At 40.6% G+C, this 12,490-nt stretch overlaps 1 protein-coding gene across 5 annotated transcripts in view, besides 4 other annotated features; it reads left to right on the top strand.

Annotated features, from left to right (window-relative positions):
* Positions 594-643: an enhancer, noted in NCBI's record as "active region_20774". NCBI's record gives its function as "activates an Ori minimal core promoter by ATAC-STARR-seq in GM12878 lymphoblastoid cells {active_cell/tissue: GM12878}" and the evidence as "EXISTENCE:reporter gene assay evidence [ECO:0000049][PMID:35858748]".
* Positions 841-1,342: an enhancer, noted in NCBI's record as "H3K27ac hESC enhancer chr3:167813739-167814240 (GRCh37/hg19 assembly coordinates)". NCBI's record gives its function as "activates a minimal SCP1, AML or CMV promoter by ChIP-STARR-seq in naive H9 embryonic stem cells {active_cell/tissue: H9 hESC(naive)}" and the evidence as "EXISTENCE:reporter gene assay evidence [ECO:0000049][PMID:30033119]".
* Positions 1,014-1,253: a silencer, noted in NCBI's record as "silent region_14869". NCBI's record gives its function as "represses an Ori minimal core promoter by ATAC-STARR-seq in GM12878 lymphoblastoid cells {active_cell/tissue: GM12878}" and the evidence as "EXISTENCE:reporter gene assay evidence [ECO:0000049][PMID:35858748]".
* The window catches only part of GOLIM4 (golgi integral membrane protein 4), an 87,236-nt gene continuing 76,114 nt past the window's right edge, over positions 1,369-12,490 (top strand). For 4 of the 5 annotated variants that reach the window (NM_001308155.2, XM_005247365.4, NM_014498.5 and 1 more), the window contains exon 1: positions 1,369-2,194. In NM_001308155.2, coding sequence (NP_001295084.1) covers positions 2,008-2,194 — 187 coding nt within the window. In that variant the 5' untranslated portion in view covers positions 1,369-2,007. Of the gene's footprint in view, positions 2,195-2,466; positions 2,582-12,490 lie in introns of those variants that run through there. The other variant, XM_047447978.1, reaches the window with a different exon arrangement.
* Positions 1,544-1,593: a silencer, noted in NCBI's record as "silent region_14868". NCBI's record gives its function as "represses an Ori minimal core promoter by ATAC-STARR-seq in GM12878 lymphoblastoid cells {active_cell/tissue: GM12878}" and the evidence as "EXISTENCE:reporter gene assay evidence [ECO:0000049][PMID:35858748]".

Below are 12,490 nucleotides of genomic sequence, written 5' to 3'. Positions count from 1 at the left end.
AGTGTATCTGCACACGAAAGCATTTTGAATAATTTAACGCAAGTTATTATTTATTAAGGAAAAGCACATGCAAGACACACTTTATTTTTACAGTGGTATAAATGCCACAGGGTAGCATCGTTATAAATTCAGTTTATTTTAGGGCTTTAGCAACCTATAATTTCAGAGTCCACCTAAAAAAACTTTTGCACCAGGAACTGTCTTTCTGTTGCATTTAGCTAAAGAGATTTACCCCCATTTTGAGCACTCAGGCCCATTAGCAATGGTAACGACTAAAGTCCAGTTAGAATATAAAAATTATGCAGTGTATCATAAATTACACCACACTATACAGACAGATAAAATTTACTTTTCTTAGAATTCAGGTCAACAGCAGAAACAAAAATTATCATTTGTGCATAACCTTAATTATTCCCCTCAAGTACACAGAAAAAATAAATGCAGTATACATTTCTTCGAAGAGGTTTGTGGTTACTACCTTTCCTGTGCTGTACTAGTTTTTACATAGGGAACCTTTGTTGCCCTTTAAAATGTAATTTAGAAATGTAACTGATGTGTTTTGCCACCAATAAAACAAATACATATGACAAAATGAATGGATACTCATTTCAGTCTGTACGATTTGTTTTTAAATTATTCTATTTGCAGCTAGAGGAGAAATGTGAGACCATTTCTTTCCTCTCTGCCAATGGCAAGCCGATTTCCCCAGCCCACGTGGACAATTGAACATTAAGTCTAGCGTGCTTCCAGTCTCCCGACTCCTGCCGGGCCATCTGTGGGCACACACACATCTAGGCTAGTACACTGGATGGGGTAAGGCAGTCGACATGGCATCTCTGGTTTGACTACCGGGATTGTGCTATGTAGCTATCCCATGTGTCTGCCGCATCAGTTTATTGGACAGGGAAAGAAAGTGTACTCAGCAGAGTGCACACAGTTACTGCCATCCATTCTTTCGTTCATACACACATTTTACTCCGCTCTCCACGTGCGTTCCGAACGAGAACTGGAACACACACACACACACACACACACACACACACGTGTTCACCGAACCTCACCCAGACTCAGGCCCGGACAAGTCCCCCGCCCACCCAAAGCTCCCCGCCCTTCGCCCTTCCGCCTGCCTCTTCCCACCCTCTCCGACTCCACGTGGGCGCACCCCGGCGCCAGGCGGCCGCGCTGCCCACAGAGCCCCTAGCCGGCCCCGGCACTGGGAGGGAAGGTGCGGCCCTGGGGTCGGACGGACAAAGCCGGCATCCAATCGAGCCCGGCACTGCCTCCCCGAAGGGAGGGAGCGTCTGCTCGGACGGGCCCAATGAGCAAGGAGGCCGAGTGGGACTTCCTCCCGGAATCCCGTTGGCCAGAATAGCCGGGCCGTGGGTGACACGTAAGTTGGGCAGGAGGTGGCGGGGCGGCAGAGGCACCAGCCGACCCGTCAGTGACACCGCTGTGCCGTCCCCAAAACCAGCCGAGACAGCTGGCCCCCACCCTTCCACCCATTGGGCAGGCCGCACGGGGGCGCGGCCCGGAGTCCTGGTCCCTTTGTTGGGCGCGCACCCCCTCCCTTAGGTGGCAACAAAGTCGTGCAGTGGGAGCCGCCGCGATAGGGCGGGGAGTGGCCAGGGCGGGACTCCAAGAACTGCCCGGGGGCAGCGGGGCCAAAAAGTGGGAAGAAGGAAAAAAGGCAGGAGGCATCTGGGGACAGGCGCGAGGGCAGCCGGCTCTGAAGTATGCGGAGGGCCTCCTCCCGGCCCCGGGCATTCGCGGAGAACGAGCCTCGCAGAAGTTTGGCTGCAGCTGCCCGGGCGGCGTCGATGGCTGCGCGCCCCGCGCCGCGCGGGGGCTGAGCGGGCGCCACTTCCCCTCCGGGCCGGCTTTTGTGTCTGGCATCTCCTCCTCATGCTGCGTCTGGCCACCTACTGCGGCGGCCGCTGCTGAGACGCTCGCTCGGACCAAGGGGAGGAGACGGCGGGGGCGGCCGCGGCTTTGGGTCCAGGCGGGACTATGGGAAACGGGATGTGCTCCCGAAAGCAGAAGCGGATTTTCCAGACGCTGCTGCTGCTGACCGTCGTGTTCGGCTTTCTCTACGGCGCGATGCTCTACTACGAGCTGCAGACGCAGCTGCGGAAAGCCGAGGCGGTGGCGCTCAAGTACCAGCAGCACCAGGAGTCCCTCTCCGCCCAGTTACAAGGTACGGCTAACGGGACGCGCGCAGCCGGTGGCCAACTTTGCCCCGCGCCTCCACCCGGGCAGGAAAAGTGGCTTTGGTGAGCTATTGGCACTGTGGTTGCCACCTCTGACCTTCAGGGACGTCAGAGGTGAGCGTTTCAGGACTGCCGGCACCAGAGTGTCAGGGGAGATGACATTCTCATCCTCCCGCTTCTTCCTCCCAGCGGTTAGGTTTAGAACTTCGTAGCACCAGCCCATCGTCCCGCTGGGCGTTTGGTGGGCGGGTGCACAGATAGTCCTTTACCCGAGCTCTTGTCAAAGGCCCAGCTGCAATCGGGGCAGGGAAACTGGTAGCCCTCCGCCGCTTCTGCCAGCCCTGCTCTGAGGAGCATTGTTCCGTGGATTCTAGGTATTTGCTTTCTTGTTGACTTTGTCAGTTGCTTAAAAAATGAAGAGTTTGGCAGAGATTTCTCAAACTGTGCTGTTTTTCAAGGGAAAATTAAGCCATGACCCAGCAGCTTAATTAAAGTCATGGCCCAGTCGAATGGAAGGAACCTAGATCTGGACCTGCTAGTTTCTTATTTCTTATTCTTTTAATTTAATAGGATGTCTTTAGAGATGCTGGATGTGTGGGAAAAGTCCACACTACATACCATTCACCATCCTGCAGTAGTTTATTTCTTTAAAAACAGGTTTACTTGTCTTCCTAAGTAGCTTTTACTTCATCACAGAGATGCATGTATGTTACAGTTAGCTTCGGGAAGCCAAAGAGGAGAAACACAGGTTTTCACTTTGCCATGCACAGCAAACCCAACTTGAGCAAGACCTGTAGAAGAACTTAAAGTTTCTATCCTATTTTAGAATCTAATTTAATGTAATTTTCACAAACATAATTTACTTTAAATGTAAATTCAGAATTTGAATTTGAATTTACTTTTAACGTAAATTCAAAGTCAGCACCATGTCCTCTTGTTAAGGACGTATCCTATACATATTTTTTTTGCAAGCTTTTACTTGTGGTTAGTTTTCAATACTTATGCAGCTTTCTCCCCAACCAAAAAATAATAATAAATAGCTGTAAGTGGTGAAATGTTGGCAGACTTTGCTGATGATGCAAATATAGCTTGTTTAATATTGCTAGGTAGATAGATGCAAGCTAGAGGGATGTTTCTGTGTATGTGTGTGCAGATATGAAACAGATGCCTCTTCTTTGCTTCAGTTATTTTGAGTGTTTTCTAGTAAAAAATTTAAGATGAGAGAAAATGATACACATCCGATTGTTTGGACTTAACTTGCTCTTCCCAACTTAGAAGAAAGAAAAGTATTTTTAGCTTACTGACGCTGCATAGCCACAGGCAATGAAAATATATGGCTCGGCTTGGTTCAAAAGTAAAACCCGTTTTGATACGCTCTTAGGTTCACAAAATTTTCTTTAAACTCATTGAAATTTACCCATGAGTTATTGTTGGTATGAGAATATGGATATTTGTTTACTTATTTATTTACAAGGTATCAGTTGCTTCCCTGTGAAGTTCCATGGAGTCAGACCAAGGGAAAAATTTACCGTCTAATAGTATAACAGGACTAGATTTTCATAAACATGGCTGGAAGGGGCATGTATGGTGGATTATATGAGGTTGTGTGTGCCTTGGTCTCTTAGGAGTCCCATGAGGGCAAAGGCTGTCATTTTCACCATTACCTCCTCAGCACCACACTGTGCCTGACACTCATTAGGGGAATCAATGCATGTTTATTCAAACAACAAACAAAAATTATTCTGAACTGTGGCGAGTAAGTTCATCCCAGGCACTTTTGTCTTTCTGAGACTTTGCTTCTGTGTCTTTGCTTTTTGAAAGCCAAATAAAACAAGAAAATATTTTGTTCAAGTAGCTCCTTTGCCTCAACGGCCTATGATGGACGATGGATATTGTTGACTGAGGCCCTAATTTCTGAATAATGGCCTTTATTTGCAGTATTTCATTTTGAAATTTTAGAAATTTCTTTTCTAATTTGCCTTTTCTTTTTTTAGTGGTGGTGGTGGTAGTGGGGAAGAGAGGTGGTAAATGGTAATACAGGATCATTAAAATATACAACTTTTGTTTTGCAGCAGATGGAAATGTTCTACCTAATTTGAATAAGTGGCTTCAAAGTCCCTTTCTTAATTTATTCTTTTGTCATTTCCTCTCTAATTATGGTGCTACAAAACTTGCAGTATAATTGTGCATGAATAATTATTTCACAAGCAGGCTAAAGTATTTTTTTGTTTGTTTTTGTTTTTTGTGGATTCACTTTTGACTTCAGTAGCATTTATTTTGGATTTCCCATGTGTAAGCCATTTAATGTACATTTTCTGGTGGTATGCAACTTTTGCTTCCCTTTTCCAAGACAAATGACATTTTACTCAACAGCACTGTGTACCACCTGCATAGATGGGCTTTTAGGACATCAGGCTCTCCAGTCTTAATACTTGTTTAGTTAGGTGGGATTGCTTGACCTGGCTTGGATTAAGATCAGAATTAATGACTTTAAAAAGAGTGGTCTTTTTAAAAATGACTCTTGAAAAAATTTCAGTAGTTTAGACCTATAATCTGATGATGTGCGTTCGTTAAGTGAGCGTATTTAGGTCACCTTCAGTTTAAGAATAGATTATACTCCATAGATTCCTTTGAAAGTGGGTTACTTGTAACCCCAAGTTAACAAGTTTTATTGTAGAAGAGCCCCATAACTAGAAGATGGTGGGGATGGCATGCAGAAAGGTCAGAGACTAGGCAAACCCCTTCCACTATAAAAATATCTATGTCTGCCTGTTTATCTATCCCTCTTAGCAATCAGTCATCTATTTATCTCCCATACTGGCACCTTAATTATACTGAGGAGTGGGACAGAGGTCACATACTGGTGGCAAAGGTAATAACAATCTTTGGCCAGCACAGTGTTTATATAACCTTTAAAGTTTTTAAACTGCTTTCAAGTGAGCCATGCTCCATTGTCTGTATCTATAGGCAGTGTTTCTCAGTCTAGACTGCCCATTAGTATCACCTGGTGGCTCCCAGACCAATTAAATAACAGTCTATGGGGGGTGGAACCCAGGCTTCAAAAGTCTTTAAAGCTCCCCTGGTGATTCCTGTGTGCAGCCAAGGTTGAGAGCCACACCTCTATAAAAAATCTTAAAACTGAGCCTTTCCGTGCATTTACTTTACTTGTTTGGCCCCAGAGACACTTGAATTTTTTATCTGAGTATGTGATTAAAAGCAGACTGGTTTCTAGACTGTAATTCAGTTCTAGTTCTACAACCTTTTGTGTGAACCTTGACGTTTTTCTTATTTATAAAGTGGAGATTAGAATAACCTATTTTATAGAGGTATTGTGAGGATTAATGAAGATGATAGACTGTAGAGCTCTTAGCACATACTTGGCATATAGTAGGTACTGCTCGTTAAAAGTTAGCTGTTATCAGAATCCCTCTTTGAGGTAAGCTGCTTTATCCCTTTTACTCTTGCCAGGTTTGTCATGGGTAATTTCAAATTTTGAAATTGGCAGAATTTGTTTATGTAGCTAACCACCTCCTTTTATTGTACCTTAAATGAACATCAAGGAATATGCAAACATCCAGTGTACTTTAATCAGAAGAAAGGACCTTCCTTGACAATTTAAACTTGGACTGCGGTTACTGATTAACTCTGTTCTGGATCATATCAGATTAGGAGAGGGTGTGACTGCTAAGGTAATAATTATGTGCTGTGAGATCTGGGAGAGAGATATAACTATTTAAATTTTTATAAAAGGCATTTAGTGTAGAGGCAAAGAGCCTGACATTCCTAAAACACAGTATTGCAATGCTTTTGGACTTCCAGGGATAAGGAGAAACCATCCAGAAAAAGTTTATGTAAGGTTTATATGTTCCTATTCCAGATGAATATGTTACAACTATTTAAAATTTTAAAAAAAGGTCACAAATGTGACGTGTAGAAGTGCAGAGTTACAAGTGTGGATTTCTCACATGCATATATTGAGTTGTGGTGAAGTCTGGGCTTTCAGTGCACCCAAAGAATGGACATGTTTACCCCACAGGAAAATTTCCAACTCTCACCCCCTGCTAGCCTCCCACCTTTTGTAGTCTCCACTTCCACTCTCTATGTCCATGTGTGCCCGTTGTATAGCTCCCACTTGTAAATGAGAACATGCTATCTTCGACTTTTCTTTTTCTGAGTTATTTCCCTTAGGATAATGGCCTCCAGGTCCATCCATGTTGCTGCAAAAGACATGATTTCATTCCTTGTTACGGCTGAGTAGTATTCCATGGTGTATATATACCACATTTTCTTTACCAGTTCTCTGTTGATGGACGCTTAGGTTGATTCCATATCTTTGCTGTTGTGAATAGTGCTGCAATAAACATACAAGTGCAGGTATCTTTTTTGTATAATTATTTATTTCCCTTTGGGTATATACCTAGTATTGGGATTGCTGGAGTGAATGGTAGCTCTATTTTTAGTTCTTTGAGAAATCCTGATACTGTTTTCCAGAAAGGTTGTGCTAGTTTACATTCCTACCAACAGTGTATAAGCATTCCCGTTTCTTTGCATGTTTGCCAACATTTGTTGTTTTTTGACTTTTTAATAAAAGCCGTTCTGACTAGTGTAAGATGGTATCTCACTGTGATTTTAACTTGCATTTCTCTCATGCTTAGTGATGTTGAGCATTTTTTCCTATGTGTGTTGTCTTCTTGTCTAGCTTCCTGTTAAAAATGTCTTTTCATGTCCTCTGCTCAGTTTTTAATTTTTTTTTTTCTTGTCAAGCTGCTTGAGTTCCTTGTAGCTTCTGGATATTAGCCCTTTATCAGGTGCATACTTTGCAGATATTTTTTCCTATTTTGTAGGCTGTTTACTGTGTTGTTTCTTTCGGTGTGCAGACATTTGTTATTTAAGTGTTTTTTGCATTGGGCTCCTCTAACACTCAGGATGGCCCACTGGCCTAAGCATGAATACATCTTGTCATTGGTTACTTCTTTGCTTTCAACCTTCCCTAAATCTACTTTTAGAAAGGAAACATTGGCCAGGCACCCTGTCTCTCGCCTGTAATCCCAGCACTTTGGGAGACTGAGGCGGGTGGATCACTTGAGATCAGGAGTTTGAGACCAGCCTGGCCAACATGGCTAAACCTCATCTCTACTAAAAATACAAAAATTAGCCAGGTGTGGTGGCACATGCTTATAATCCCAGCTACTCAGGAGGCTGAGGCATGAGAATTGCTTGAACCTGGGAGACAGAGGTTGCAGTGAGCCCAGTCACCCCCCTGCACTCCAGCCTGGGCAACAGAGCGAGACTCTGTCTCAAAAAAAAAAAAAAAAAGAGAGAAACATCTTCAGCACAGAACCAGGCTTTTTTTATTCCTTCATCTCCAGCGTCTGGTGCCTGGTAGTACCTATGTAGTACTTTTTCTTGGCCTATTAATGTGCATATATATGGTGGTATTGTGCGCAGTGAGGTATAATAGATACAGGCTGAGGCGTCAGAGCACTTGGATTTGATTTTCTGCTATCTTATTTTGCTAGCTGTGTGGTCATGGGCAAGTTATTTAACCTTTCTGTGACTCAATCTATTCATATGTAATAATCAGGATAATAGTGCTTACAAAAGGTTATCTTGAGAATCAATAGTGTTAGCTGATGTGCAGTGCTTAGAAGGGTGTAGCTTGCATTTTGGATGATTGAGGAAACATATACAACAGAGTGGTTCATAGACCTCAGCAATTTAGACCACAAGTGTGGGCAATGTGTGGTAGGTGTACTAATTTTCAAGTGCAGCGTTAGAACTTAAAACATGAACTAGACATTGTCTATTAAATGGACATCTTCACTGAAGTACAACTTAGAGTTAAATGAAGAGACTATCATTTTTGCTTGATCCTGTACCATTTAGAATATGGAACAAAAATACTCTTAAGTTCAGTAATTTTTATTTGTGTGTAAATTCCTTCCCTGAATAAAAGATAAAAGCTTCCAAATACCTTTTGAAGCTCTAATTCAGTGAAGCATTCTTTTGAATATGTATGATTTGCACATAATCTATAATCGATTTCACACGTTGTGCCCACCTTAGTCATCCCTCTAATATGTAACATGCCAACTCTAATGAGAGTACTGGTGTCCAGGTAAATAATTGGTTGCTGTGTAAGAGAATTACTTGTTATCTGGGAGCCTTTAGTTTAAGTTCCAAGTAGATTGGAAGCCTTGCCTTGATTTCTTTTTATTCTTTCTTTTCTTAGGAAGGACAGTTTCCAAAAGGGCTGGGGTACAATACCACATTACTGTGGCTGAAGGAATAAGTGAATTGGAGTTGGGGAAATGAATACTGACTAAATATGGTGTGAATCAAAAAGCAAAGGATTGGAGAGAAACCAGAAGAGGGCAGGGAAAGAAAAGGGGACACATATCACCTGGTGACTTTTCAAAGTACTGAGGAAGAGTTTTGTTCACATCTTTATGTCCTAAAAGAAAAGCAGCAGGAAATGGTGACTGGAGAGCTGGTTGGGGCATCAGATGTGGTTTCAGTGCAACTCAGGCATTTACCAGCAGGGTGACCTTGAGCAGGCAAATAACCTCTCTGAACTTCAGCCTCTTCGTGTTTTAATTTGGGTTAGCAATGTCTAACTTGCAAACTTGTATGGATTAGAAATAGTGCATCTGAAGTGACGAGTATGAGTCCTGGAGAATATTACTACTACCATTTATTAGGTGACCAGAACTACTGTTGTTGAATTAACATTGGGCTTCTTTTTATTTTGCCCAGCCTTTACTACATCTAGTAGGTAAGAGTGTTATTAGTGCTGGCCTAAAAGTGGCTCCTTTCACTATGTGCCCTACTTGGCTGAAACTTTTTGATTAAGATATTCTCACTCTGTCTTTTCTACCCTTTTGAGCCGTTCTTGGGGTGGAAAAAACCTGAAAATGCTTTACATGATAGCAACTAAGAGTTGTTGTTTTTCATTTTGACAGCCAATGGTTCTTCTTTTATCATTAAGGACAAAGTGGTTTTGCTACTTTTGCCAGTAGATGGTTTATGGGTTTTATAGCTTTATTTTGAAGTGAAAGTTATATATCATATAGCTTTATTATAAAAGAAAAATGATAAACTATATTTTCTTTTTAGCCAGTGTTCTTTGGAGTGAATTTTAGTAGAATTTTGAAAACTTATTTGAGAAAATTAAATTATTTTTAATCCATAACATTTATTGAGTACCTACCATGTTCGGGTTCAATGCTAAGCTTATTACATGCATTATGTCATTTAACTGTGACACTAGCACTTTAATCTGAATGAGCAATCTGAGGCTTAGAGAGGTTAATTAACTTGCCAGTGTCAAGATCTAGCCTGATGAAACTAAGCTTAGAAACCTAATGTAACTTTTTCCATAGTGCATCATTGCCCTCAAAATTATTTTAGTGTCTCTCATGACAGTATTAATGGTTTTAAGAAAGTAGGTTAGGTGGGTCATATGGGGATTCATGATAAAATTTAGAATCAGAAATAACGGGTGTACTATTTGATGCAGCATTTCCAGGGTACAAGAAATTTGCTGCTGGTATGAAAGATGATTTTGGTTGATACTAGAGTTGATTTTATGTGGCATGTAGATGTTGCCTGAAATGACAGTGAATCATATAATGAAAAACTTATTTCCTTTCAATGCTTTCCTGACAAGTAATGGAGAAATTCTCAGTCTGATGCTAGAATCTCTCTCCTAGAGAGTTGCTTCTCTGTTTTTCCAAAGAGAATAGACGTTAGGCAGCCAACAACTTGATAGCTAGAATTTGATAATTGTTTTGTTGTATTATTGTATTTAATTTTAAAATTAAATCTATTACCAATCATTAATGCTATGTAAATCAGATTTTTCATTTATAAAGTAGTGGTGTAAAAGTTTCCTGTTTAAAGTTTATTTTAAGGAAAAATAAACTTATTTAAGTGATTATTTGGTGGATTCAAAAAAACTGTACAGGTTTTGCATGAGTGTAGTAAGAACTCGCCTGAGGGGTGCCTGCATGTCTGAAGTTTAGGAATGCATTGACTGATCAAGTTGGATACAGACACTGAATTTTACAGTTAGTTAACTGAATTCTAAGGTGGATAAGTCACTTACCAGGTAGCTTAAGCTAAGCTGAGAGCCCACATACTCTGACTCTCAGTACAAGATAATACCCCTTCACTGCTCTGTGCTGTCTCTGTAGACTAGGACCCTCTTCTCTGTGAGAAGAAATGGGCATTGCTATTTTTAAACAGTGCTGTGTATTTCTGAATGGTATATTTGTGTTCTTTGTTTTTATTGGCCCATGAGTGCATATGCAGAAGACATGTCAGTCATTGTCCTTCACTGATAAGCTTTACTAAATAGGCTCATAGCCCGGAGGGACATGGGCATGAAATAAATTGCTCTCTATAGCCGTATGACATTTTAAAAAATACTGCTTTAACTATTTTTCATACATAAAATGTCACAATATGATAGTGAATAGAAAATTAAGATGTGCTGTCATTCTGAAGGATAGGCATTATAGAACATTGAAATGATATTATTTGCTTTTCTTTGGGAGTGCATGAAGTTAAAAAAATTATAATCATTTTAGGAGAGTCAGACATTTCATTTTCCAGTTCACATCTCATTTAAAATGCCTCCTTTAATTGGAATCTTTGTTACAAACAGAAAAAATAATCTGCAAATCAAGATATTTAGGACAGCTTTGACATTGCTTATGTGTTCTCTTGATAATAGCTATGATGCTGTCAAATAAATATTATAAACAGATTAAAATTTGGCAGTTGATAATTGATTAATTTGGTTTAGAGAAGTTTATCAAGTTTTATATTAGTGAGATTTATTAATAAATAATATTAATATTAGAAATCTATGATGCTTGCCCTTCTGCATTAGTAGCTCAATCTTTTAACAGACAGAAAATGTTTTAAATTATTTTATATTTTATTTAGAGGTTTGGATGCTATAAAACAAGTTAAATTGTATTGATGTCAAACATCACTTTTATTAAAATATGAAAAATAATTTTTTTTACTGTATAGGCGGTCATCACCTCAAAATCTAGATGCCATCCAAATTTGATCCAGGTGTGGGTGAGGCCCCTTAGGTATCCATACAATCTTTAACTATAATTCTTCAAGTATGCTTCCTCTTTATCTGTAGATCTGTGAAACCAGAGTCAAATTACCTGCCCTCAACACAGCCAACATATGGTGGTAGGACAGGCATAAAATACCTAGATATTCCTGTTTAAAAAAAAGGCAGAAATGTGAGAAAAATAGGAGTCACCTGTCAATAGGAATTTGAAGTCTGTTGAGGCAAGTGCTCCTGTAGTAGGTCTCAAAGCCTGGGAATAGTTCTCCAGGGCTCTTGACTGTACCATTTGGTTTCTTGGTTCCACTCTGAGTCATCTTTCCTTTTTCGTGAAAGGTGGCATATGTTTGCAGCTGAGTGGTTTTCTCAGCCTGCTTCCTACCGGTAGAATTTTAAGGACCCGTGGCCTTTTTAAATTTAGTACTGCTTCTACCCCTTTTGGTCCAAATAGGCAGTGGTTCTGCTGATACAATCTTCTCAAAAAGTTTGTGGGTCTCCTGTGAAACTTCTTTGAATTTTCTCCATTAGCCAAAAGCCACATTCATATATCTCTTGGAGATAAGTCTTCTCTACTTTGGGCTTGTGCCAAGATCGGGGAGAGACAATGCATGCCCTTAAATTTCCCAAAGGCTCATTATGAGGCTCTGAGGAACCCTTAGGAGGTTCTGTCATCTGATGAAATAGTACTCTGAGATATCACTTTTGATCATTCCAAGATTTTAACAAACCGATTTTATAAGACACCCTCCGCTTTTGTCTTTAGACCATGTTTTTCTGATAGTGTCCTGGAATTGATCTTATCTTAAAAGCTGTTTCTTAATTTCAACATTATTTGCTGTCTAGAGAAGCTAAGAATTTTCGTAACTATCAAGTCCTGCCTCCTTTTTGTTTAGCAGTACTTCCCCCAATGTATCTCTTTCTTCTCATAGTTTACCATAAGACAGTAAGAAGAAACCAGGTGACATCTTCAGCACTTTGCTGGTAAATGTCCTTAACTGGATAAGTCAGTTCATCTGGCACATTTTTTTTTTTTTAATTTCCATGTAACTATAAGTGACTGCTGGTCACATTAACTACACCTAAGTGTGGTTATTGCTAAACTTTAGCCACTACATAATTTTTAGTTTCCATAAACATTTTCTCACTTTCATTTAAGCCCTTCCATCAGCCTTCTTAAATTCCAAAATTC

Source organism: Homo sapiens, chromosome 3, assembly GCF_000001405.40.
Source record: "Homo sapiens chromosome 3, GRCh38.p14 Primary Assembly".
Classification (NCBI taxonomy): domain Eukaryota; kingdom Metazoa; phylum Chordata; class Mammalia; order Primates; family Hominidae; genus Homo; species Homo sapiens.
Note: the sequence above shows the minus strand (reverse complement) of the source record. Positions and strands in the feature narration are given on the sequence as shown.